This window comes from Homo sapiens, chromosome 3 (assembly GCF_000001405.40).
Source record: "Homo sapiens chromosome 3, GRCh38.p14 Primary Assembly".
Classification (NCBI taxonomy): Eukaryota; Metazoa; Chordata; class Mammalia; order Primates; family Hominidae; genus Homo; species Homo sapiens.
The window spans coordinates 46,398,658-46,426,188 of NC_000003.12; the positions used below are offsets into that span (position 1 = coordinate 46,398,658).

Genomic DNA, 27,531 nt, shown 5'->3' on the forward strand with positions numbered 1-27,531 from the left:
TAATGTAGGAGCTTTAACTCAATAGGGTTTTTTAAATTCTTTTTTCTTGTCTTTTTTTCTTTTTTAATTTTTTCCATTTTTTCAAGTCAAACTGAAGAAATATTTTTCTTTTCTTTCTAGGAATGCATATTCACCCCCCAAGGCCACTTGTCTCCTGATTGGAGAGTATTAGACAATTCTCAGGATTTCTTTATTTTCCTTCTTTATTCCATAGGATTGGGAAACCCAGTAGGATTGGGTTTAGGCATATCTCTAAAGCACCATGTTTCAACGTTTTGATGTAAGATTGTGCCCTATTTCTTGTTCAGTTGCTGCCAGCAGATGTTATAGTTTTAAAACTAGTTTTTGGTCATTGAGATATTAGAGGAGGGAAGAGTCTGCTATCCTGCTTTACTCATCTTCATCTACACTACACTGTCATCTTCACTGCAAAGTCCTGTATTAATGTTTTTAGATTCTATAACATTTTAACAGGTGTCAAAAAATCTTAAGCACCACTTCAGCTTGGGAATCTCTAAATGTAATGGTGTTTGTGGGCTGGACTGATGTCTGCGTCTTGTTGTTGTTATTGTCTGTAGTAATGGAGAGCCGGGAGATCCTGGACACTTCCTGTTCATGGGCACTTGATGCATTAGCTGCCCCAGCAGCTGATTACATTTAAACAAGGATGTGTGGGTGAACCCAGGGAGACCAATCTCAGTGGAATGGTGGGGGCAGAAGCCAGGCTGCAGGGTGTAGAGTAGGGAATGAGCAGTGATGAAGTAGAAACAGAGTTTGGACAACTAGTGAAACTGCCTGGAAGAGGGGGAGAAGAGACAGTAAATGGTCTGACCAATGTTTGAGGTCAAAGTGGGTTTGTAATCTTTATTTAAGGGACAGATCTGAGCATTTAAAAATTCTGAATAATCTAATAGAGAGGAAAAAGTTGGGACTCAAAGAAAATGTGGGAAAAAATGATGAAGGTTAAACGGAATGAGATCCAGAGTGCAGGGGGAGAGATTAGCCTTTGGTGTTAGAGGAGCAACTCTGTCCATGGAGAGAGGAAAAATGTAGACATACCACAGTTGCATTTGAAGTTGGGGCCTGAGGAGTTGAGGAGTTCTGAGAAAAGCAGAAGATGAGATCATTTCCTGAGAGTAAATGGGAGTCATTAGAACGGGGGTGAAGAGACTGGAAGCTTTAGGTAGCTTGAAATAGTTGATGGAAAAATTGGATAAAGTGACAATTTGTCACACTCAGAACAGCTATCAGGGAATCTAGAAGAATCTCTGGAAGCTAGTTGAAGATCTTAAATTACCAATGTATCTTGTCCACATAGCTAAGCGGTTTTACTTATTTTTATTTTTTTGAAACAGGGTCTCACTCTGTCACACAGGCTGGAGTGTAGTAGTAGTAGCACAATCACAGCTCAATGCAATCTCTGCCTCCCGGGCTCAAGCAATCCTCCCACCCCAGCCTCCCGGGCCTGGGACTACAGACACACACCACCACTCCCAGCTATATTTTGTACATTTGTAGAGACAGGGTCTCGCCATGTTGCCCAAGCTGGTCTTGAACTCCTGGGCTCAAGTAATCTGCCCACCTCGGCCTCCCAAAGTGCTGGGATTACAAGCTTGAGCCCGGCTGCTAAGTGGTTTTAAACAGCTGTTCTCGGAAACACACACTCAAAGAAAAAATGTAGAGGATAATTTATCTAAGGCTGGGGCTTCAAGAGAGGTCAGGGTGTTGACAAGAGAATGACTAAGTGGCAGACTACTGGATCTCAGCTAGATAAAGAGGGATGTGATCGTGGGAGGGGCTGATAGTCAGAGGCTGGAAGGCTTGATGAACAACACATATTACACAAAGAATAAATGGAGTGAGAGAAACCAAAGGAGTAAAAGTTGTCATCAGAAAAGTGAGAAATTTTATTGTGAGAATTCAGTGGTAAATCAATGTTAACAAACCTCAGCTGGGCACTAGTGGAGTGAAACCGAAGGCCAGGGAGTTGAGTTAATGAGCTGAGACTTGGGCACCAGATGGGGGTCCACATGGACAACTAAGCCACCAGGATGATGTGGGAAACTGGGGTGAATAGAAGCCCCTTATCCATGTGCACAAGTCTTGAATAAAATAGGGGCAACCAGGCAGTCAGTGGATGATAGCAGTGAGGTGGAGCAGAGAGCAATGTAGTTGGAGAAGTGGAGCCCACAGCAGTCTCCTTTATATCTAGAAGGGAATTAATAGCCAAAAAATGGCACCGAGGCCAAGGATGTCACCTTCTGACTCCCAAATCTGAGACAGATGTGAGAGGGAAGGAGTATCCTCAAGGGACAGGAGATGGTGCGAATGTTTTTGGCATAAATCAAAGATGTCAGGGAAATTGTCAGAATTCAGGTTCCAGAGACACAGAGGAAAAGCGTGGGAGAAAGTGGAATATTGGGAGGTGAGATTAGGGCAGAGGAAGCACAAATCAAAGAACGAGGAATAGAAAAAGTCATATGAGCTGAGGAGTTGGCCAAACATGACAGAATGGGAATATGATGGAATTAAGTGGCTTTATGTGTTCCAAAAGGATTGGTCCACGCAGGCCACAGGAAAATGGGAGGTAAGAAGAAAGGGATCGAAATGCTGCAAAGTGTATTACTTCATGGTAAGCAAAGGACTCAAGACTCTAGAAAATGATGCCCTTCCTTCCAAGACTATGTTAGTCCAAATCTTTCAAGATACAGAACCCAAGGTGGGGTCTGGCATACAAGAAGTATAATAGAGGAAATGTCTGTGACATTTGCAGGACTGCAAAGGGAGCCAGGAGAAGCTGGGAAAGCCATGAGATCACAAGCAGGTCTGACTCCAAGTGAAGGAGATGGGGAATGACGCAAGGTTTGGCTGAAGCATGTGCCAAAGGCACCCATCAGAGGAGTCCCTCTCCAAGGGATGGGCCTATCATAGTGTCCCTAATAGTGTCATGGAGTGGGAGCAGCCCACGGAGGGCACAGCCTTGGCATGAACGCAGACATGGGTCTCAGAGTGCAGCAGCTGGGCCCCTCAGTCAATTAGGCTCCCTCAGAGCTGGGGCAGGAGGTGCACTAGACCACACAGTAATATTTATTTATTATTAATTTAATTAATAATATTAATTTATTAATTTAATTAATAATATATTTATTTATTTATTATTACTAGACCACACAGTAGTATTTGTATGTCTAAGGAAGCATTTCTCAGAATATACTCACTGAACTTTTAGCCTATAAGTACCTGTATGAAAATTTTAAAAGGGGTTTCATGATCAAAACATTTTGGGAAACACTCCATACCCTTTCTTCCTCATGAAGGATCATAATGCCTATTAGTATATGAAGGGCTCTGAGAAGTCCTGTAGTAAAGAAACTTGCTTTAGTTTTTTAGTCCAGCAATTTTTCAAACTTAAATGAGCAATAGCCTCCCATCCTTTTTTTTACACTTTTTAGCATACTGCGGAATAAACTCAACATGCATTGAGAAAGACTGCTTTAGGGAATAGTCAACACTATTTCACTCCCAGTAAGTACATATAAAATCTGTATTTCCAGGGTGGATTATCAACACAGCTGTATTTTAGAAATATTATCTGCCCTCCCAGGTATCACAGCTACTAATTATTGGGTACTGAGGTGGAATTTTAGGGATCAGCCAATTATGGGAAAGAAAATCTGGGGGCAGGATAAGATGGTCTCCGAAGCCTTAAAATTATATGCCATTATTTACCTCTTTGATCTACTACTCAATATCAAACAACTAATTCAGAAGAAAATTGATTGTTTTCTAAAAGTAGTTTTTCTACATTTCCCATTAAGAAGCAGTGGTATTTAAAACTTATAATGGCTATTATGTGAGATTATCACTATCATAGTTTTTCTCTATACAAATTTTCTGTAACATTTTATTTGCTAATAAAAATTAGATAGATGGATTGACTAATTGATAATCTAAGAAAGATTATATTTGAAGAAGCCATAGTAAGGGACAGATTAAATTATCATCAGTCTAAACATTCTAATACCTATTTCTCTTTTTTTGAAATTTTCCAAATTTGTTATTATGCATTTAAACAATAATTTTTTGAACTTTTATTTTAGGTTCTGGGGTACATGTGAAAGCTTGTTACGTAGGTAACCTTTTGTCATGAGGGTTTGTTGTACAAATTATTTCATCACTCAGCTATCAAGCCCAGTACTCAATAGGTATCTTTTCTGCTCCTCTCCCTCCTCCCGCCCTCCAGTCTCAAGTAGACCCCGGTGTCTGTTGTTCCCTTCTTTGAGTTCATGTGTTCTCATCATTTAGCTCCCACTTATAAGTGAGAATACAAGGTATTTGGTTTTCTGTTCCTGTGTTAGTTTGCTAAGGGTAATAGCCTCCAGCTCCATTCGTGTTTCCACAAAAAAACATGATCTCGTTCTTTTCATGGCTGCATAGTATTCCATGGTGTATATGTACCACACTTTCTTTATCTAATCTGTCATTGATGGGCATTTAGGTTTATTCCATGTCTTTGCTACTGTGAATAGTGCTGCAATGAACATTCACATGCGTGTGTCTTCATGGTAGAATGATTTATATTCCTCTGGGTGTATACCCAGTAATGGGATTTCTGTTTTTAGCTCTTTGATCTAATACCTATTTCTCAAGATCAAGTTAGATCTCTAAAAAAGGCATCATCCTAGCATTTCCCCATCCCTTCCCTGAACTAAATTTAATGTTGTGTGTATCAATCAGCATACAGTCAAGACAGAAACCACACATGAACATTAAATATAATGAGTTATTAACTTATAAAAGGGTATGAACTACTAAAGGGGGTAAGGAGAATGCTGAAGAATGCAGGAATGGCAGATGTAGAGAGCAGCCATAACCTCTAAGCTAAGGCACAGCAGCCAAGGAAGGGGCGAACTCAAAAAATGCCCTCCCTCCCCAGCTGATCCACCCTTGTTGGAGGGGGTGTGGCTGCAACCCAATGGATGCCCAAGAAGTTTGCAGAGTTGTGGCAGGTTGGGGCTGCTGAGCAGGAAACTGCCCGAAGGGGTACCAGTGAGATTCCCAAGAATGTGGGCATGCCTCTGGCGAGGAAGACGCTCTTGGAGTGCCAGCAAAATTTACTAGGAAGCTACCCAGTAGGGTGCCAGCAAAAGTCAGCAGGAAGCCACTGTCGTGGTGTCGGCAAAATTCACTGAGGAGTGGGCACTGCAGGGTCTCCACCCAGCACTGGCAAATCAGCCAAAAGAACAAAAACAAAATAAAAACAAATCCCAGAACCAGAAAGAAAAAACTCTGCCTCTTACTGCGACCCTCTTATGCCTTCTACAGCAACTGGCAAAGGAGAAATGTTTATGGGGTCCAGCTCTAGACTCACAAAGCAGAACACAGAAGAGTGAATGAAGAGCTGAAAGGCGATAAATCAGTAACTGGAGCCTCACATCCTTTGCCTTTTTTATTGAGGGTCAATATATTAAGAAGAATATGTCTGCGTCTTCGGTAAAATTATTGCTAAGGTTATCACCCAGTGTGTGTTTTCAACCTCCCTGATATAAGAACTTAGTGACAAGAAAGAATGAGACAATGATCATGAACTATTGGACCCAACCATTTGTGGCTTTAGTGCCCATCTTCTCAGCAAGGCTTTCTCTCTCTCTCTCTCTCTCTCTCTCTCTCTTTTTTTTTTTTTTTTTTTTTTTTTAAGATGGAGTCTCACTCTGTCACCCAGGCCGGAGTGCAGTGGCACAATCTTGGCTCACGGCAACCTCCACCTCCTGGGTTCGAGTGATTCTCCTGCTTCAGCCTCCCGAGTAGCTGGGATTACGGGCACCCATCGCCACCCCTCCTGGCTAATTTTTGTATTTTTAGTAGAGATGAAGTTTTGCCATGTCGGCCAGGCTGTTCTCAAACTCCTGACCTCAAGTGATCCACCCACCTCAGCCTCCCAAAGTGCTGGGATTACAGGCATGAGCCACCACAGCCAGCTCTCAGCAAGGCTTTTTCTGACTACACTATTTAAAATGTGATCCCTGAGCCACCTTGGCCTCTCTTGCTGTCCTTCCCTGCTTCGCCTTCTCCATAGCACTTCTCTCCTACTAATCTACAATTTACTTGAGCTCTGTGAAGGTCAGGATTTTTGCCTATTTTGTCCATTGGTGCATCCCCAGCACCTGGAACAGAGCTAGGCACAGGCTAGGCACTCTAGAAATACTTGCTGAATAATTGAATTAAGTAAATGAGTGATCTACACGTAGTGGGGAATGAGAGTATACAGTGATAGTTCCTTCGACTAAAACTGGGGTCAAATTATAGTGATAAAGAGGAACTCAGACCTTCAGAGGTAAGCTTTGTGGACCACTTGCCAAGGCTGCAGAATGTGATGTCGTTTCACAAACAAGGAGGCCCTATTATGGCTTCAGATATGAGAATAATAAAGAGAACTTTCCTTTCGCCTCAACTGCAGCCTTCTAAACTCTTCCTTCCTTCCTATGTAGAAGTTTCAAGGACCTCATGGCCTGAGTGTGGATAGGCAGAATGCTGGGAATCAGGCAAAAATAAAATAATACTGAAAGTGAAGGTCATGCTAATATTAGTAAGCCAGGGTGATCCTGAATTTACAAAACATTTTTCTTTGGGAAATTTCACACCTCACATGATTCTGTGTTTTTACTTGGGAAATTTCACATCTCACATGACTCTGTGACATGCGGTACATGAGGTGCCTGACTGCTGTTTTTGTCCTCTACTAATGAGGAAGAGTGTGCGTACTCCCAGCGTTTTGCAAGTTTCAAAGTCTGACTTGACTTTCCTTCCTTTTCCTGGAACTGATCCATGAGTATCGAGAGTAAAGCTGCCCGCACCTACTCATTCAAGATCCTGAGTGTCCTGCCCAGCTGCAGGAGGTGGAGAGACCCAGGAGGAGGGGCCACTGCTGATCCCAGGCTGTAGGGGGTGGGAAGAGTGTCCCAGGGCACCATGACCCCCACTCACTCACTCACAGGAGACCCACACAAGAGAGGAGAGGGCACTTACAGCTTAGGTTCCCACCAGCACCAACTCCTCTGCCATCAAACATCATTGTGTTTCTCTTTCTGCCTTGTCTGTCGGCACACGTGGAGTTAAATTTAATGCTCAATCACATATTTGTCTGGGCTCTTTCTGTGTTTATTTTTCTCTTAATAGTTCTCTCTCCTCCCTTCCTCTCCCCGCCCCTCCTCCTCCTTCTTCTTTTTTTTTTCCAGAGACAGTGTCTCGCTCTGCCACCCAGGCCAGAGTGCAGAGTGGCATGATCATGGCTCACCGCAGCCTCCAACTCCTGGGCTCACGTGAACATCCCACCTTGGCCTCTGGAATGTCTGGGATTACAGGCACTTGCCACTGCATCTGGCTAATTTTTATATTGTTTATAGATCCGGGATCTCACTATGTTGCCCAGGCTGGCCTCAAACTCCTGGGCTCAAGCGACCCTCCCACCTCATACTTCTGAGTAGCTGGGGCTGTAGGAATGCGCCTCAGTGCCAGGCTAGTTTCTTAATTTTCTATTTCTATTTTGACAGGTACAAATTTTGTATTCAATCCTACCTCAGACACATCTTTGGTGGGAAAAGGATGTCATTTAATCAATATATAAATTCTAAGCAAATAGGTCTGATCCCCAAATTAGGTTAGTCACAGCTGCTGAGTCGTTGACCCAAGAGAAGCTCATCTAGATTTTTTCATTATTTTCAAGTTCCTCTTCTCGGTTCGTCCTTCTTCCAGACCGTGCCCTCCCCGTCCCACTCTCTTCCCACAGCCTCCCCTCCCCACAGCCTCCTCCCACCATTCCAAATCTGGGCTGTTCTCTCAATTTCCTTCTCTCTGGACTCAAACCTACCCTAGCCCCCAGCCTCAGTTTGGGGTTAAACTTGTCCTCCTCACATTCTCTCCCACCCAACTTGATGTCGCCTCTGTGTCATCACCACGGGATTTTCCTCCTCTGGGTTCTCCTTTTCCGAGTGGGGTCAGCTCCCCCATGAGTCACAGCACCAATCACTTCTGGCTGCTTGCAAACCCCTTTGCTTTCCTCAGTGTTGACACCCAGGGCAGCCCTATGCTCACTGCCGCTGAGACCCCACCTCTGCCCCTGGCCTTTTCCCAGCTGACATCACCCTGTGGCTTCCATTTTCCTAAAATTCTCTTTTGAGGCCTCAGTCTTAACCAAAGCACACAGTGCCCCTCAAAAATGACAATAAAAACCCAAACACACCGTGACTGTCATGGCAGGTTCCTGGTCCCCGTATTGAATCAGCGGGTGGGTTTCTGCGAACACTGGTGAGAGGCCGCATTAGAGGGTCAGGACCCTCAGGTCTGGACTCGTGGTCACCACATACCTTCCTCCCTGCTGACAGTAGCTGGTACCTGTTACCTACTCAGAGTGTCACATGCCACAAGCCAGAGCGTCTTGGCAGTTCTCAGCACCTTGACATCACTTCCTTGCTACCACTCAGAGCGGCAGTGACACAGTTCCCTTATCTCAGAAGGCCAGAAGACGGCTGTCAAAGGTCACAGGGAAATCAAAGGCGGGGTACAGGGCCAGAGGGAGGAGGAAACAACTTCCCGGTTGCTTTCAGACGCTTCAGAGATCCTCTGGAGGCCTGGGGGAGCTTTTGAGTACTTTATTTCAGTTGGTCCCTGAGCTCGGTGAGTGGGGCGGGTAGAGCCACCAGGGGAATCAACAGTGGTTTCTCGTGCCCCTCAGGGTCAGGAGCAGTCTGATCAAAAGGAGGGCATCCACTGTCCGGGGCCATTCCCACAGCTCCCGGATGCTGGGTCTGGAGGCTGCGCCCTTCCCCTGCAGGAGCTCAGCCCAGTGGTAAGTCATCTGTGTGTCATCTATGTATTTAACCCCTTATGGCCATGTTGATGCTGAGCATGGTTTCACTTTTGCAAACATTTATTTATACCCTTCGAGAGAAAAACGTCTCAGCTGTCACAGGAAGCTGCTTCGGGGGGTGAGCAAACTTTTTAAAATGCAGAAATTATGATCTACACCCGTTTCTTAAAAGTAAGCCATCGTACTTGGTTCTCTTTAATTATATATTTTCTTACATATTGTGTTCATGTAGGCAAGTCCTGTTTCTGCTAAAAGAAGGTAAGTTCTACCAAGGCGGTGTCATGCCAGCTTTATTTCCCGTGGCACCTGGCACACTGCTAAGCACTTACATGCTTAACAACTAGATTGGGAATGGTGCTGCTCTGGGGAAGTGGGCACACGTTAAAGAAATGTTTATTTCAGTCTTCTGAAATAGGGAATTACTCTGGCTAAAATGTAGCTCCAGAAAGGGAAAGTGGGGCTGTATGAATCCAGGTCCAGTTTGTTGTTTCCTCCAGGATAAGGCAGCTGTCGGAGGGGAAAATCATCTCCCATTTCTCCACAGGGCAGTCTGAAGATGGCCAATTACACGCTGGCACCAGAGGATGAATATGATGTCCTCATAGAAGGTGAACTGGAGAGCGATGAGGCAGAGCAATGTGACAAGTATGACGCCCAGGCACTCTCAGCCCAGCTGGTGCCATCACTCTGCTCTGCTGTGTTTGTGATCGGTGTCCTGGACAATCTCCTGGTTGTGCTTATCCTGGTAAAATATAAAGGACTCAAACGCGTGGAAAATATCTATCTTCTAAACTTGGCAGTTTCTAACTTGTGTTTCTTGCTTACCCTGCCCTTCTGGGCTCATGCTGGGGGCGATCCCATGTGTAAAATTCTCATTGGACTGTACTTCGTGGGCCTGTACAGTGAGACATTTTTCAATTGCCTTCTGACTGTGCAAAGGTACCTAGTGTTTTTGCACAAGGGAAACTTTTTCTCAGCCAGGAGGAGGGTGCCCTGTGGCATCATTACAAGTGTCCTGGCATGGGTAACAGCCATTCTGGCCACTTTGCCTGAATTCGTGGTTTATAAACCTCAGATGGAAGACCAGAAATACAAGTGTGCATTTAGCAGAACTCCCTTCCTGCCAGCTGATGAGACATTCTGGAAGCATTTTCTGACTTTAAAAATGAACATTTCGGTTCTTGTCCTCCCCCTATTTATTTTTACATTTCTCTATGTGCAAATGAGAAAAACACTAAGGTTCAGGGAGCAGAGGTATAGCCTTTTCAAGCTTGTTTTTGCCATAATGGTAGTCTTCCTTCTGATGTGGGCGCCCTACAATATTGCATTTTTCCTGTCCACTTTCAAAGAACACTTCTCCCTGAGTGACTGCAAGAGCAGCTACAATCTGGACAAAAGTGTTCACATCACTAAACTCATCGCCACCACCCACTGCTGCATCAACCCTCTCCTGTATGCGTTTCTTGATGGGACATTTAGCAAATACCTCTGCCGCTGTTTCCATCTGCGTAGTAACACCCCACTTCAACCCAGGGGGCAGTCTGCACAAGGCACATCGAGGGAAGAACCTGACCATTCCACCGAAGTGTAAACTAGCATCCACCAAATGCAAGAAGAATAAACATGGATTTTCATCTTTCTGCATTATTTCATGTAAATTTTCTACACATTTGTATACAAAATCGGATACAGGAAGAAAAGGGAGAGGTGAGCTAACATTTGCTAAGCACTGAATTTGTCTCAGGCACCGTGCAAGGCTCTTTACAAACGTGAGCTCCTTCGCCTCCTACCACTTGTCCATAGTGTGGATAGGACTAGTCTCATTTCTCTGAGAAGAAAACTAAGGCGCGGAAATTTGTCTAAGATCACATAACTAGGAAGTGGCAGAACTGATTCTCCAGCCCTGGTAGCATTTGCTCAGAGCCTACGCTTGGTCCAGAACATCAAACTCCAAACCCTGGGGACAAACGACATGAAATAAATGTATTTTAAAACATCTATTTAATGTATTTTAAAATAATTTGTAAGTTGATTTTAAAACCAATTTAACTACATTCCAAATTATAGACAGCCCATTTATATGGGAGTAACTTTTCAGGCTCATTGCCTCGCCGGTGATGAGAAGAACTAGCTAGCTGGAAGCTGTGGGAAAAAGAGGTAAGGTAACTTGTTCTGTCGAAGTTCTCTAAATTCTCTTGCTTACTTGCCACACCCCTAGGCCCCCAGCTTCCCCTAACCCAAGGTTTCTGGTATTTTCTCGTACTTTATCAAGACTATGGAATCTTAGGAGACTTAACAAAAGCAAATGAGAAATTATGTTTAGAAATGTCTAACAAAATGAATGCTTTGTCCTTTTAAGTATAACACATACCTCAGGCCTCACCAGCACATAACTACAAAAGGTTGTCCCACTTCCTTTCTGTGGCTGAGTTAGTAGAACACAGGCTCCCACCTGCCACATCAGCAGAAGGTCACCTCAACATGTGAGCTACCTCCCCGGAGACCCCCCAGATCCGTAAGGATGATGCATCCTTGATCCTAAAAACATTTTCCTGTTCCTGGTGTTCAGAATTGGACTCCACACTCACTGGTCTCTTTATAATCTTGCTTCTGGCCCTTTGAGGCCTCAAAGCTACCAGGGCCTTGCTGCCAGGGGACAATCACCACTCCCGGCTGAGTCCTGCAGACATAGGGCCTGGGCTGGCTGCCTCCTCCTGCTGGCCCAGCATCTTGCTTGCACTAAAGAGAGCTGGAGGCTTGGCACTGATGCTTGCTAAAAACCTACCCAGGCCGCCCACTGCTGCCGCACTGCAGGGCACCAGCCCACACTCCTCCCCTCCTGGCATCAGGCACACGTTCACGGCACTAAACCTTACAGGAAAGCAGTGGAACCCTGTCTTTCCTTCACAGGAGGCACTTTCCTTCCTAGGCAAAAACGATGATACCCATGGGCACAGCATCTCACATAGGGACACATAGAGATGTCTGACTCATTAAAACCCAAGTCTCTGGCCAATTAAAAGGGGTCCTTAATGTCCTACTCAACAGTGGTGGAAGGAAATTTGCTCTATATTGATGAAATGAGGTGGAGAAAATCTGATTTTCCAAACATGAGAATTCTCCATATGCCACCCCATAACCAAAGACCCCTTATTTGTGTTAGATGAAACATTCAAAGAGCCTATTAGGATAGCGGATGAGACCCCCAAGGGACATGCTTATACAACAATAACTGGCTCCAAACCACACTCCATGGCAGTGGCTCTCAAATGCCAGCTCACATCACAAGCCCTGTGCTAAAACACAGAGTTCTGGGCCCCATCCCGGAGTTTGTGGTTCAGGAGGTCTGGAGTGTGACCTCAGAATATGCATTTCTAACAAATTCCCCAGGGGATGCAGATACTGCTGACCCAAGGCCCTCCTTCTGAGAACCACTGTTCCAGGGAGAAGAAACTCAGCTAAGTAAGGGTTTGGCTTTGTGCTGAAGACAATGTGGAATTTAGAGTTGGGGTGAATTATTCAGGAAAGTAGAGAGGTTTGGAGATGTGAGGGTGGGAAGCGCAGTGGAGGGAGGCAGAGAGGAAATATGAAGCAGCGTCAGTTGGAGAGAAATTAGGAAGAGGAATAAAATGATATATGCCAGGGATTTCAGTTTTGCTGAGCCCATGATGACAGACTCTTCTCTGGCACCTTATGCCACTCATTGAGGGCTTGTAGCTGGCTCTGCTCTTTCAGAGTCATAATAGGGCTATGGGTCTGACCTCAAGGTGAGCTGGAATGGGCACAAGTAATAGATAAAACTGCAAGAAGTCACTCAAGGGTCCTTCCTAGAACAAAGGATCCCTACATTCCAAAGGCGAATGCCGGTCACTATCATAAAAGAAAAGAAAGAAAGAAACTGATGGTGACATTTTAAATGGCAATTTTTCTAGCTTCTAAAAGGTTGTGGAGCAACTGGAACTTTCATACCCTGCTGGTGGGAATGTAAAATGGTATAATCACTTTGGAAAAATTGGCAGTGTCACCAAAAGCAAAGCCTATACCTACTATCCATTTCACTCCTCAGTATTTACCCAAGAGAAATGAGCATGTATGTCCATACAAAGATTTGGACCCAAATGTTCATGACAGCCTTATTTATATAGCCTCAAACTAGAAAAAGTCTGTCTATCAACAGGTGAATGGATAAACAAATACTGGCCTGTGTATCTAATGGAATACTGCTCATCCACAAAAAGAAACGAGCTATTGATACACACAGGAGCATGCACGAAATCTCAAAATGCTGAATGAAGGAGGCCAGATTTTAATTTTATTTTTAATTATTTATTTATTTATTTATTTTTGAGACAGAGTCTCGCTCTGTCACCCAGCCTGGAATGCAATGGTGTGATCTTGGCTGACTGCAACCTCTGCCTCCTGAGTTCAAGCAATTCTCATGCCTCAGCCTCCCAAGTAGCTGTGACTACAGTCATGCACAAGAGCAACTGACTAATTTTTGTAATTTTAGTAGAGACGGGGTTTTGCCATGTTGGCCAGCTGCTCTCACACTCCTGACCTCAGGTGATCCACCTGCCTCGGCCTCCTAAAGTGCTGGGATTACAGGCATGAGTCACCGTGCCCAGCCGGAAGCCAGATATTTTTTAAAAGTACTTATTTTGTGATTCTATTTATATAAAATTCTAGAAAATGCAAACAAATCCATAGCGACAGCAAATCAGTGGTTGCTGGAGATGTTGGAGGGGAGAGGAGAGGAATAGATTGCAAAGGGGAACAAGGAAATTCGGGGGGACAGTGGATATGTCTGCTATTTTGACTGTGGTGATGGTTTCATTGGTATATACATATGTCAAAAACGTAACAAGTTGTATACGTGATTTATTATGTGTTGACTATACCTCAAAAAGGCTATTTTTTAAAATCCCCCTCAGGCTCCAGGCACTCCATTACGTTGGTGTGACTTGTCTTGGAAATATACTTTGAGCATTTGCCGGAGGAGATCCAGTGCCTGGGCCTCTGTTTCTTCTCCCAAGTAGAATTGGCAGCTAAAACGGGATGCCCATGGGCACAACTTGTCACCCCCATCACCGAACAGGGAGCAGAAGGAGGCTGCTGGGGGTGCCCCCACAGGGAGCACAGTCTCATCGGGAATGACCTGCCATGGCAAATAAAATCACCAGGGCAAGTCAAGGGAGAGACCAGGGAAGAGAGTGATCCAGTCTATATTAAAAAAGGATGAGAAAGGTTGAAGAAAAAGAGAAGAAGGGACAGAAATTCTCTTCACACATTTGCAGAAGTAGGTCCGGACTCTCCATCCACTTCTCCTCCTCCGATAGGTAGGACAGGAATCTCAGAGGAAATGGCATCATCTTCCCATGTTTACAGACACAGCAATGAACTCAAAGAACAATCTTATCAGGATTTTCCAAATGAAAACATGGAGCATATAGAGAATAAAGATCCATAAACTCGTATGGTGGCTGAGACTGAAATGGTTAATGAAAAGCAAAAGTGTGTGCTGAATGACACCAGCCACAATGGCCTGAACACTTAAGTAGTGTAATATACTTGGAACATTGACAGCTAACAAGGTCTTCCTCCCATGTCAGACCAAGAACACAGTTTCCTAAAGATAAAAATAGCACATGCTTTTCCACTTTTCCATAAGTGACTGCATTAGAAAACTAACAAACCATGAAAAGCAAAATATGGCTAGTCTATTCAAGAAAAACTGGTGTTTCTATTTTGTCTGTAAATTACTTTCTAATACAAAAAACAATTCCTGTTACATTGAGGTAATTCTAACTAGGGACATATGAGAGAGAGATTGAAATCTCATGAGCTGTCTCCTTTTCATCTCAATTCTGTGTACTCGTGGGTACAAATGGAACTAGTTTTTGTTTGTTTGTTTGTTTTTTGAGATGGAGTCTTGCGCTGTTGCCCAGGCTGGAGTGCAAAGGTGTGATCTCGGCTCACTGCAACCTCTGCCTCCTGGGTTCAAGCAATTCTCCTGCCTCAGCCTCCTGAATAGCTGAGATTACAGGCGCCTGCCACCATGCCTGACTAATTTTTTTTTTTGTTTGTATTTTTTAGTAGAGACAGGGTTTCACCATGTTGGTCAGGCTGGTCTCAAACTCCTGACCTCAGGTGATCCACCCACCTCGGCCTCCCAAAGTGCTGGGATTACAGGCGTGAGCCACTGCACCTGGCCCGGAACTAGTTTTAAAACAGGAAACAGTTGATATACTGAATGGAAAAACAATACAATTTGAAGTTGAAAAAACAAAATAAGATGCCCAGTTAAATTTAAATTTCAGTTAAGCAGCTAATAGTTATTTAGTATAAGTACAACCCATATACGACAATTGCAGTATTTGTTATTTATCTGAAATTCAGACTTACCTGGGCATCCTAGTATCCTGTTTTTTGTTTTGTTTTGTTTTTCCCTTTGTTTTCTTTTTTTTCCCCGAAATCTGACCACCTTAACTTTAAGGTATTTATTCATTTTTAAAAACTAAATATTTTTCGGCAGTCAGAACTAGAGCAAAGATAAATGATCCCAGGACTCTGTTTAGCAGGCAGTCAGGAAGTGTGACAGTGTGGTGGGTGGCAGCCCCGGCCAGGCCTTTCCTCTTCCCTAAACTGCCACAGCAGGACTGCCACACTTGGGAATCCCAGTTTCCATCTGAGCAGCCCCTCCAGAGTTTGGAAGGAGTCAGTGCTTTAGCCTGAGGAGCCGTGGATGGCTCTAACACTTTGCTTGTCGGTTGAATAAAAATCAACCCAAAGGTGGCCTACACTCATTGAAGTAGGAATGCCAGAACTTCAGTGGTGTCACATAGAAGAAAATATCTAAGTGCTTAGGGAGATGGCAGTGCTAGTGGATCTACTGGATCATTAAGACTCACTCACCCACCCAGCGCAGGTCTAGAGGACACACCCTTGCCACACTGGGAAGTGTAAATGAGCTCCAGCATCTTTATTTTTTTTTATTTTTTATTTGTTTTATTATACTTTAAGTTTTAGGGTACACGTGCACAAAGTGCAGGTTTGTTACATATGTATACATGTGCCATGTTGGTGTGCTGCACCCATTAACTCGTCATTTAACATTAGGTATATCTCCTAATGCTATCCCTCCCCCCGCCCCCGGTGTGTGATGTCCCCCTTCCTGTGTCCATGTGTTCTTATTGTTCAATTCCCACCTATGAGTGAGAACATGGGGTGTTTGGTTTTTTGTCCTTGTGATAGTTTGCTGAGAATGATGGTTTCCAGCTTCATCCATGTCCCGCATCTTTAAAAAAAAAAAAAAATCTCTAAGTGGTGGCTCTTCTCTGTAGATCAGGAGCTGTAGTGAGCAATGCTACAAAACTGGAGTTTCTAAATACAGGGGGGATGGTGGGATTCTGAGGAAGGACAGGCCACGTGGTAACACTTACAAAAGACCAAGTGGGTGTGGTTGCCACTGTGGACGGTGGAGCCAAAGCAGTCCTCAGAATAGTCTGACCCCCAGAGGTCTTTGGCATTGGCTGGTTGATCATGGTGTCCCTGGAATTGAAATAGAAGGACGGTCTACTAAATTTTTACCTGATCTGTATAAGCAGAAGAGTTCTATCTCTAGTGAACAGAAGTCTAACTTTAGTCACCAGAACTGAGAGTCAATTCAATCAATTCCCAGATTTGACATAGTTTATAGACCTAGAACCCCTTGAATGAAAGGTAAGCTGGCTCCCCTTGAGGAAGGACCCTGTTACATTTCCGGCATTTTATTCTGATAATCTTTTTTCCCAGCCTTCCCCAAAGCAACTTAGGGCCATTTACCAGGGAAAGCCATGGAGGAAAAGGAAATAATTAGGCTATTTGGAGATTCCAGGACACTGGCTCTACGCTGACACCAGTTCTAAGAGACCCAAAATATCTTTGTGGTCTACCAGCCAAAGTAGGGCTTCATAGAGGTCAGGGGTCACTAGAGTTTGAGCTCAGGTCTGTTTCACTGTGAGTCTAGAGGGTCCCTGAACTTATCCTATAGTTATTCCCCCAGTTCCAGAATGCAGAATTGAGCTGAGAGCAGTGGCTCATGCTTGTAGTCCCAACACTCTGGGAGGCGAAGGTGAGAGGATCACTTGAGCCAAGCGGTTTGAGACCAGCCTGGGAAATATAGTGAGACCCCATCTTTTAAAAAGACAAAGAAAAATAAAGAAAATTGACATGGAAAAATAATATAAAATGTGAATAATCTCACATCTACTAAAGAAATCCAATCTGTAATTAGAACTCCTCCCACAGAGAACTATAAGCCCAGTGCCCCCATCAACTGGAGAAACAGAAAGAAACAATCTTCTTAACAGAAAGCATAATTGGAATAGAGATACTCTGCATCGGGGAAGAATCCCCATATTGATTCTCTGATCCATAGAGTGAAGGCCAAGTGGAAGCCTTTGGAACTCCCTCTACCTGCCAAGATACTAAACAAAACAACACTGCACGTCTGGAGGAATTGTAGCAAGAACTTGAAAGATGAAGGATGATGATGTCCACCTCTCTCCATTCAGCTCACCTATCTGGTTTGTGCAGAAGACAAATAGGTGTTGGAAAATGACAGTGGACCAGTGTAAACTTAATCAGGCGGGGGCTCCAGCTGCAGCTGCAGGATCAGGTGTTGTTTCATTTCTGCAGCTAATCAACCCTTCTCCTGGCACCTGGTGTGCAGATGGCAATTTTTCTTTTCTATTATCTGTTAGTAAAGACTATCAGAAGCTGTTTATTTTCAGTTGGCAAGGTCAGCAATACACTCCAAGGGAAGAGCAGTCTGTCTCAGATCTTACCGATGCCTGGGGATAGGGAGGGAGTGGCCCCCTCACCGTCTCCAAGGCCTAGTCCTCTGCTCCTGCTACTGGCAGCAAATCCACGCAGGTCTGCAACAACCTCAATTCCTGCCTCCTCAGAAGAAAGAATTCAATTGAGGGACATAAGACAGAAGGAGAGACTGAGGCAAGTTTTAGCACAGGAGTAAAAGTTTATTTAAAAGCTTTAGAATAGGAACAAAAGGAAGGAAAGTACACTTGGAAGAGGGCCAAGTGGACGACTTAAAAAGCAAGTGCGTGGTTTGACCTTTTGACTTGGGGTTTTATACGTCAGCATGCTTTCGGGGTCTTGCGTTATTTCTCCCCTGGTTCTTCCCTTGGGGTGGGCTGTCCCATGTGCCTGCCTGAGCCCACTGGCTCAACTCCTGAGATCTTATAGGGAAACTACTGCTCACCAGTTTCGAGTGTTTTCTATCTATTAGGAGCCGGCTTTTCCCTGTTGCCGGGTGTGACCAATTATTACTTTAGAAAGACAGTCAACAACCGCCAGACCATCACCTGATGGTCACCTGACACTCCTGGTGTGTGGGGTATGGGGAGCCCTCTCCTGCCCTGCTCTTTCTGACTAGCTACCCACTATAACACTCCCAGAGGGACCTGCACATTTTGTGCTCTTTGCAAGACAGTGCCTGCCCAGCACCTGTAGGCCTGCTCACCCCTTCAGGGTCATGATTTTTGCTTTTTACCGCAGGTACCCATAAGCAAAACATGGCATTGTTCACCATGCTTTTACATTATTCACATAATTTTAAGTTATTTACACAACAATGTAAAACCATGGTGAACCATGCCACATGTTGCTTATGGGTACCTGTGGTAAAAATCCTGCTACTAGCTCATTTTGCAGTGTCTATAATGACAGGTAATGCTCCATTCACTCCTTTATGACACTTGCAAAAACTGAGAACATAACGCCTCCCAGTTAAGCAGGCATCTGGGCAATGTGAGGAGAACAGAAATAGACCACGCTGCATTTATCTCTCTTGATGACAGGCATTGAGATTTCCACTTTTTCTGGTTTCTTATTATGTCTCTACTGGGCATTCTTACATACATCTTGCACGCCATGGAAAGTTTCTCTAGGGCAGTGGTTCACAAACTTTTTGGATACAGAATACTTTTATGTGCTTGAAAACTGAGGACCCCATACAGCTTTAGTTTATGTGGGTGTAAGGTTCTAGCCCAAACTGAAGTCCGAAGGGAGTTGGTGGGTGGGTGAGGGGTAGCTGAAAAAACACCCGAGGAATCATAGGCAGTTTGAACATGGCCTTATCCTCTCTCTGGGCACGAGCCATATGTCCAGTGTCAGCAGGGTAATTATACCTTTTACAGACAATAGAGGCTCTGAAGCAATCACGAGCTCACGTGAGTGGTCACCTAATGCACCTCAAGTGGCATGGTTCATAATGTGCGGAGTCGTGTGCCTACGCTCCAAACCCACTGAGTCATGGTGCACCAAAAAGTGGCCTCAGCCTGCTCCTGACTAAAGCGCAGCCATCTTCCTTACACTCCACCCCTAGGCCAGGGGCATCCTCCAGGTAGGGACATGTGCCCGTAGGGTGGAGCCCTGAATCCATAATCCACAGCAACAATACGGAGAGCAACAGCTCACGACTAGGATTCCAGCTATGCTACTTATGACTATCAGGGCCCAGCGTAGGCCAGAGCCCAGGGATGTCTACCATCTCTGCAGGGGGTCATCAGTAAGGCTCTTGACTACCTTAATCTCCTGTGAGACCCCTTGCAGGGCTGCTGTTATGTTCTGCCAATTGTCAGGGATAAAGGTACAACATTGTGTTCCTAAAAGGGCACAGGTGCCTCCTTAGGCAGCAGTTACTATGTCTAAGACCATTCGGTTTCGCAACACCACCTTTCTGATCTGATCAACCTCATCCATTAATGGGAAGAGGGCCACTCAGGTGTAATTCAGAGCCTGAGCAGCATGCTCTGCAAGAGCAGTAACTTGGCTTCTACAGTTGTGACACACACTCCAGGGCTAGTGCCTGTCAAGGGGTAAAACCACCAGGGTGCTCATTACACTTGCAAAAACCGAGAGTGTAGCACCTCCCAGTTATGCAGGCATCTGGGCAATGTGAGAACAGTGGCAGGTACATGAGGCCACCCTCAGGTATAATGTCCAGTCCAGTTTGCTTATAGGTAAGGCCACCCTGTGTCCCCACAGACCCATAAACTCCCAGGGGGCACACAGTCCATCGAGGCCCCTTGGTGGGGCCGCGTCTTCCACCATACCTTTGGTGTGGTGACATGTATTATGCTTACACACACTGTGACGGGTACCCATCCCACAGTGCTATTACCCCAGTGTTGCTATATGCACCACAGTGCCTGGGCCAGGGGTACTGCACGTTACCTCACTAGCCAGCCCCACCCATCATAAATGCTATGGGCCAGCCAGGGAATGGCTGTGCTGTGGGTCTTGTGGCATCCTTTGTCCAAAACTTGCCACGTTGCGTTCCAGGCATCAGCCATGGGACCCCAAGTCTCCAGCCATGTCTGGTTCTCTGCAGATGCTGAATGTATGTGCTAAGGCAAGCCATCTGCAGCTGCTAGAAGGGCGGTGCAGATCCAACAGTTGGAAACATTGGTCACTTCAGTGTAGGTGTGGGCCCAGTCCACAATGCAGTTGGAGCATGTTAACCTACAGTTGGAATGACAGAGTAGGCATAGGTACTAACAGAGGAAAATCACATCCCTCAGGTAAAATACAGGCTAACCTTTCATCCCTGGATAACAATGCAGCCCCCAAGGGGTTCTGCCCTGGGCAATAGTACCACACCTTTTCAGCTCCCCATGGTTCCTTTGGGTCCTGTATTCATGCGAAAGTCACAGGGGAGCTTGTAGTAGGCCACACAGACAGTACATTTGAACCCTGGAGGAAAGTTTCTTCCCTGGCCGTTTTCCTACAAACAGTTAACTTCGGGGACCATTCATTGAACACCCAAAGAGTGACATACAAGTCATACTGTAGGCCCTCCCCACAGGGAGCTACGATGGACAACCACCAGCAGCCGGGGGCTTGGAGGGGCTATGGCCACAGCCAGGTTTTCTGTTCCCCTGCCTTCAGGGACGTTGGGGCAGGCAACAACAGGTTACTGTTCATCCCCATACCTGGTCAGAGGCGGTTACCCTTGGTGTGTATCTGCAACTGAATAGGGGTGGTGGCCCATGTAACAAAGCCTCCACCTGGGCTGGGCTGCTTTTCCATGGCCATTCATTCAAGGTTTGGAGCATCAGGTCCAGCCTGGAACTTCAGCCCTGCAAAGACAGGAGTGTGACATGCAAGTAAAACCCATTCTTCAAGAGCTCGCTATATCACTCAATCATACCCACAGCTTGCAAGTTGTGCGGTACATGGAATCCCTACTTTATGTCCATTGTTGTGCCTGTTGTCCAGTAAAATGTGTCCCCCATCACTCTCAATGACCAAAGGGCAACCATATAGAGCACATAAGTGTTGCAGGGTCTGGATGGTGTGCTGTTGGTTGGCCACCCTGCAAGGATAGGCAAACAACAGGCCTGTGGCTGTGTCCACAGCTGTTAGCGCATGAGTATACCCTTGTGACTTCGGCAGCAGCCCAATGTAGTCTACTTGCCACCTGGTCAAGGGCACTTGCCCTGTTGTCACTTGTGTAGCACTGGACAGCTGCCTCCATTTAGGGTATGCCTGAGCACATGCCGGGCATTTCTGACAAGCCTCCCAAATGTCTTGCATGGGCAGAGACAGACCCCAACATTTATTGACTTGTTGCATCAGTTTACCCCCTGCATGTCCCAGTTTCCGGTGTAGCTACAAGGCCACATCTCATGTAGATGCCAACTCTAACCATCGGACCTTGGCCAAGGCTTCTGCCTCGTCATTGCTGGGGGTGGCCAGAGGCATATGGCCTGACAAATGATAAATAGTTACATCTTTGCAATGACCCATTTCCCAGAGGTCTTGCTACATGGGTTGGTGGCCCCAAATGGGTTGGTGGCCAACTAGCCAATTCTGTATTTTCCAAGTAGTTAAACACAAAGTTAGGCCTCCATAGACTGCCCAGCTATCGGTACGGATTACCATAGGTGTCTCCGCCTTGTTGATCACCATCCATACTGCTTTAAATTCAGCCCATTGACTACTTTGTCCACATCTGGTTTCAAACCATATGGTTTTGGTACTAAGTTGGACTGCAACACTGGTCCAAGCAGGAGTAGCACCTCGACTAGACCCATCTGTGTGCCATGCCCCATCAGGAATAGAGGGACGCCCTTCCTTAAATGGCAGTGGCTCAGGGTCAAGGGGTGCCTCAGGCCCCATGGCCTTCTCTTGCATTAGGACTGCAGGTCCCAAGACCTCTTGCAACTCTGCTGCTAATGGGCTTGTGCTCAGCGTACTCTGTTGCTCCAAGTAAGTGCCTCACTTTGCCAAAGTGGATGTCTGCACCATCCCAGTCTGGGGGGTCATTACACATGAATGCACCCATCCCGCTGTCAGGTAAGTCATCCACACTGTGACTGTAGCCCATCCTATCACTTCTCACAAGCCTGAAGGGCAGCATATACAGCTGCTAGCTATTTCTCTATCAAGGAATACCAGAGCTCAGCTCCTTTCCATAGTTGGGACCAAAAGCCTCCTGGCATTCTCAGGCACTCTGTGTGCTGCCACAGGCCCAAACTAAAACCATCTGTGGTCACATGCATATCCAGTTCAAATGGGCACCCCTTGTCAAATACCCACAGGGCTCGTGCCTGCTGAATAGCCCACTTGGCTGCCAGGAAGCCAGTCTCAGCCACATCAGCCCAATCCCAGATTGCTCCCTTCTTTGTTAACTGATACAATGGTTTTATCATTTGAGCTAAATGAGGCAGGAATGTCCACCAATATCCCAGGAGGCTCACAAAAGTTTGCAGCTGCCTCACCGTGGTGGGCCAGGGATATGCCTAAATTTTGTCAATGATAGCCTCTTGTATGGCCTTCATCTTACCCGACCAGATAACTCCCAAGAATTTAGCAGGTAATCCAGGCCCTCGGACCTTGGATTTGTTGATGGCCCAACTGCATGCTGCCAAATGTTGCCACAAGAGGGGTGCCACTGCTTCTAAATCTGCAAGAGAATCAGAGGTTAACATAATATCATCAACGTAATGGAACAAGTGGACTCCCTTTGGACATTTTCAGGCTGTTAAATCCATGGCAACAAGACCATGACATATGGTGGAGCTATGCACATAGCCCTGCAGCAACACTGTGAAAGTCCATTGTCATCAAGGCAAACTGTTCCTGGCTCTCTAGAGCAAGGTCAACTGAGAAGAATGCATTGGCCAAGTCCACCACATAGTGGTACTGTCCTAATTCCATTGTCGAGTGGTTCATCAAATCCATGATAGATGGCACAGCTTCCAAGCCATGTAAAATATCCACCTCCAGAATGTATTCAGGTATGGGAGAGACATACACAGTGTATAAGCAAGGAGCCAAGTGGCCAATGCCAAGGTACAGAGATACAGGTTTCACTTTCACTGACTGGCCTCCGTAACCTTTAATATATGCAGATTTGCCCAAAAACTTAACTGGGTTCCCATAAACAAGGCTACAATCTATGCCAGTATCTACCAGCACCAGCACCCACTGTACATTGGTGGGGGACCAGTGGATTGCCAATTCCACATGTGGCCTCTGGTCATCTGGTGTCCCCCCAAGCCAGACACCTTTGGCCAGTTCCCTAGTTGAACAGAAAAGGCTCTACATTTCCACCTGGCTGCAGCAAGTAGTCTCTGAGCTGGGTAGGACCAGGTCACACAGCAATGCCTTTCTCCCCTTTGGGCATTTTCCGGAATTGCTGCCCTGCATACAACTGTCTCCGCAAAGTTAGGAGTATTTCATTGGGCTGCTTATCAATTTTCTCTCAGTCAACCCCAGCCAAAATCAAATCTATCCACATCTGTGAGCGTGTCACTCGTTGGGGCCCCCTTTTTTTATGGGGGAGCCCCCTGTGGGTGGGGTAACTTCCCCTTCTTTATGGTGTGGACCCTCCAATCCCCCTGAAGGCCTTCTGCTTCCCTGAGAGCCGCCATGGCAGTGGTTACTTCATGTATGCGGTGCCCTACGTATGGGGTGAGGACAGCAGCTAGGGAGCCAAAGGGGCTCAGGAGCATCAAACCCAACATGAGATCCCTCATGTGGGAGGTGAAACATTTATCATCTGGCCCTCAGGTATTCAGGACAAACATAGCCTGCCGCATACCCATCTCCCGAATGACTTACACCAAATTGGCATATGACTGCCATTTACTCACAGTTTTGGGCATTTCACCAGCATTATTCCACACAGTTCATATGGCTGCCTGTAGCCACTCAGTCAGGGTGTGGTCTCCTTGCGCTGCCACTAACCACCTGCTCACTTGCAGCCGCTGACAGAGAGAGGGGTGAGTCATGGTGGAGGCCAGCTTGTCCATCTCAGAGGTGGAATGGGAGATACCATCTGCTCCCTTGTTCCACAGACGAAGCATCCAGGCAGGCAGGGGTTCCCCTGGACACTGGCAACACTGCTTGCCTAATTCCTGCAACTCAGTTGGGGTACAGGCAATATACGAAATGTGTTGCATTATGGTGGGGAGTCCCTGAGTCCACCCTTGGAGCCCCAGTGGCTGTTCATGATCTACCTTCTGTCAGACCACCGGGTGAGCCCGCAACAGGGGTTCTTCCTCCTTGGTATGAAACTGAGTGGGGATCTCCAGACAAGATGATGGACCCAGGCCTGCATTCATGGTAGCCTCTAATTCCTTTTCCAAGCTCTGAAGCCACACCTCCAGGCATCCTGCCTGCACCTGGAGGTCCCCATTCATGGCAGCCTCTAATTATTTTCCAGATCGGTGTAGCCAGACCTCCAGTCTGCATCCCTCAGGGACTGGGTGTGTACTTTTCTTAGCACAGTTAAAAATGCCCATCCAACTCTGCCAGCAAAGGCTCTCTCCTTCTTGGTGCTCTGCACTTCCAGCTGCTTCAGCGCCTTCTCCATGCTCATGGGGGACCCATCTACTGCCACCCAGGTTTCCACTCAGGCCCACCCTCACAGCACGGCTACCACCGGGTACCACAACCCATGTTGTGGTCACATGGCCAACCTGGAATCAGCAGGGACCGAAGGCTCACTTACCTTAGGATCCTGTTCGTGATGCCAATTGTCAGGTTCTAGCCCAAACTAAAGTCCAAGGGGAGTTGGTGGGTGGGTGGCAGGTAACTGGAAAAACACTCGAGTAGGCGGTTTCGACATGGCTTTATTCTCTCTCTGGGTGCAAGCCATATGTAGTGTCAGCAGGGTAATTTTACCTTTTACAGACAATAGTGGCTTTGAGCCAAGCACGTGCTCATATGAGTGGTCACCTAATGCACCTCACATGGCATGGTTACATAATGTGTGGAGTTGTGTGCCTGCCTCCAAACCCACTGAGTCATGCTGCACCAGAAGGCTGCCTCGGCCTACTCCTGACTAAAGCACAACCATCTCCCTTAGAGTGGGCTAAATCTACTGCTATTTATACTATTAGAAATTTTAACACAGAAGTTTTAAATATTTACATTGTTAATTGATTTTGAAATAATAAGCCCATTACAGGTTAACATAATTAACATACTTTTATTAAAAATATCTGTATTTTTTAAAAGAAAAAAAATTAGCAACAACAGTGATCCTTGGAATCGTCCCACCTCAGCCTCCCAAGTAGCTGAGACCACAGGCGCACATCACCATGCGAGCTAATTTCTATATTTTTTGGTAGAGATGGGATCTTGCCATGCTGGCCAGGGTGGTCTCGAGCTCCTAAGCTCAAGTGATCCTCCTGCCTCGGTCTCCCAAAGTGCTGAGATTACAGGTGTGAGCCACCACTTCTGGCCAGAAGCTGGATTCTCTGTCTTGTTCTCCATCCAATCTGTTAGACTGTCAAATGCCAAATAACCTTTGGAAAATTCTACTCGTAAAATAAGGAGAGAGATAAATAACTTCTGAGTATCATCATTAAAATAGTTTGACCTCATGGACCCACTGGGTCCCATGTGGAGAATAGCTCTAAGCTAAAGAGTAGAATGGCTGGGAGGGGACATAAACATTCAGCCCATAGCTGCTGACCACAATAACACATTTTAAGTCTCTTCCTCTCCTGCTCCTTGTGATTGCAGACAGACTCAATCTGTAGGAGAGCTGTAGAGAGAACAAGCTCAAGCCCCTGATTTTGCCTACAAAGAAAGCTGAGCCCAGCAAAGTTAAGGGACTTACCCAAGGTCACACAGCCACACAGCAGAGCTGGGGCTGAGCTCCAGGTGTCCTGCTACAGAGGCCACTTCTTTCTCCCACTAGGGACTGGCCTGTGATTACTTCAGAAAACAATGGTCAGCTAACTGATTCTGAACGCCCTTTGCTGGTAAAAGCTAATCTCCTGAGGAAAAATGTATGCATTGGCTGGGCGCAGTGGCTCAAGCCTATAATTCCAGCATTTTGGGAGGTGGAGACAGGTGGATCACTTGAGGTCAGGAGTTTAAGACCAGCCTGGCAGTCATGGTGAAACCCCGTCTCTACTAAAACTACAAATATTAAGCTCGGCATGGTGGCAGGCACCTGTAATCCCAGCTACTGGAGAGACTGAGGCAGGAGAATCGCTTGAACCCAGGAGGCGGAGGTTGCAGTGAGCCGAGGTCGCACCACTGCATTCCATCCTGGGCAACAGAGTGAGATTCTGTCTCAAAAAATAATAATAGTAAAATAAAAATAAATAAAAAAATAAGTATGCATCACCTCAGGTGGTCAGTCAGCTTTCCCAAGACCCCAAAGCACACAATGTTCTTTCTGGTATGAGTGACATGGGGTTCACAGCACCACAAAGTCCATGACTTTTCCCTCAGAAGTGAATGCATGGCTAATTATTTTGTATTTTTTGTAGACATGGAGTTTTGCCATGTTGCCCACGCTGCTCTCAAATTCCTGGACTCAAGTAATCCACCCACCTCAGCTTCCCAAGGTGCTGGGATTACAGGCATGAGACACCGCATGACCTGCACCTATAGTCCCAGCTATCAGGAGGCTGAGGTGGGAGGATCACCTGAACCGGGGAAGTTGAACCTGCAGTGAACTGTGATCGCTCCGGTGCACTCCATCCTGGGCAACAGAGTGAGATCCTGCCTCAAAAAAAAAAAAAAAGTGAACACACATGCTGGGGAAGAGGCCTGCAGGCACCCCTGCCAGTTCTGCACCAGAGCACACTGTAGCAGCCCTGCTGTGATGCAGGAAGCAGCTCCAGGTCCTGCAGTCTGAAGCATGGAGCCTGAAGCCTGGAGCCCCCCATCCAATGCTGCGCCATGCTCACCAGTATCCCCCAGCATCAGCACCGAGGCACCAGCTGCAGATAAATTTCTCACCTAAAATGTTGAGAGATGTTGCTAAACTGTCCTTCTAAGGGTATGTATAATAATACGGTCCTGCCGATACTGAATAAGACTATCTGTTTCATTACATCCTCACAATACTGAATATCATTAGCAACTTGAATTTTAAATTGTGCTAATCAATGAAAATGATTGCCTAATTACTAGTGAGTTGAGGTTATTTAACATTAATACTCCTTCTGATGAAATATTTTGCATTTATCACATTTTACATAAATTCTCTCTATATAATTAGCACTAGAATGTCCGACTTGGTTTTCATTGTTCCTCACCTGTTTGGAAACACATTAAGAATGAGGGAGAGAATGGATGGGGACTCACCTAGGGATGCATGGAGCTGGTCGGCAGCCACTCTGAGGCCCTCT

At 45.9% G+C, this 27,531-nt stretch overlaps 1 protein-coding gene and 2 long non-coding RNA genes across 8 annotated transcripts in view; 1 reads left to right on the top strand and 2 right to left on the bottom strand.

Annotated features, from left to right (window-relative positions):
• The window catches only part of CCR5AS (CCR5 antisense RNA), a 43,083-nt gene extending 34,674 nt beyond the window's left edge, over positions 1–8,409 (bottom strand). For all 4 annotated transcript variants that reach the window (NR_185891.1, NR_125406.2, NR_185893.1 and 1 more), the window contains exon 1: positions 8,240–8,409. This is a non-coding gene — a long non-coding RNA (CCR5 antisense RNA). The remainder of the gene's footprint in view (positions 1–8,239) is intronic.
• Positions 8,410–8,601: 192 nt separating this feature from the next.
• On the top strand, positions 8,602–10,866 carry CCRL2 (C-C motif chemokine receptor like 2). Of its 3 annotated transcripts, XM_011534208.2 has the most exons (3): positions 8,602–8,643; positions 8,732–8,845; positions 9,411–10,866. In XM_011534208.2, exon 3 carries the CDS (start codon positions 9,423–9,425, stop codon positions 10,455–10,457), a length of 1,035 nt encoding a protein of 344 aa, XP_011532510.1. In that variant the 5' UTR covers positions 8,602–8,643; positions 8,732–8,845; positions 9,411–9,422; the 3' UTR covers positions 10,458–10,866. The 3 variants fall into 3 exon arrangements, with proteins under 3 accessions (XP_011532510.1, NP_003956.2, NP_001124382.1); NM_003965.5 differs by having other exon boundaries at positions 8,602–8,845; NM_001130910.2 differs by lacking the exons at positions 8,602–8,643; positions 8,732–8,845 and adding an exon at positions 8,958–9,037.
• Positions 10,867–17,858: 6,992 nt separating this feature from the next.
• On the bottom strand, positions 17,859–25,010 carry LINC02009 (long intergenic non-protein coding RNA 2009). The gene is made up of 5 exons (NR_151704.1): positions 24,888–25,010; positions 24,028–24,141; positions 22,716–22,835; positions 20,860–21,006; positions 17,859–20,389 (listed from the first exon to the last, which is right to left on the bottom strand). It is a non-coding gene; the product is annotated as a long intergenic non-protein coding RNA 2009 (long non-coding RNA).
• Between the last annotated feature and the right edge of the window lie 2,521 nt (positions 25,011–27,531).

Coding starts and splice junctions, on each gene's coding strand:
- CCRL2 (NM_001130910.2), top strand. CDS start 9,014: ATGATCTACACCCGTTTCTTAAAA. Junction 9,038..9,410: donor TCTACACCCGTTTCTTAAAA/GTAAGCCATCGT, acceptor ATTTCTCCACAG/GGCAGTCTGAAGATGGCCAA.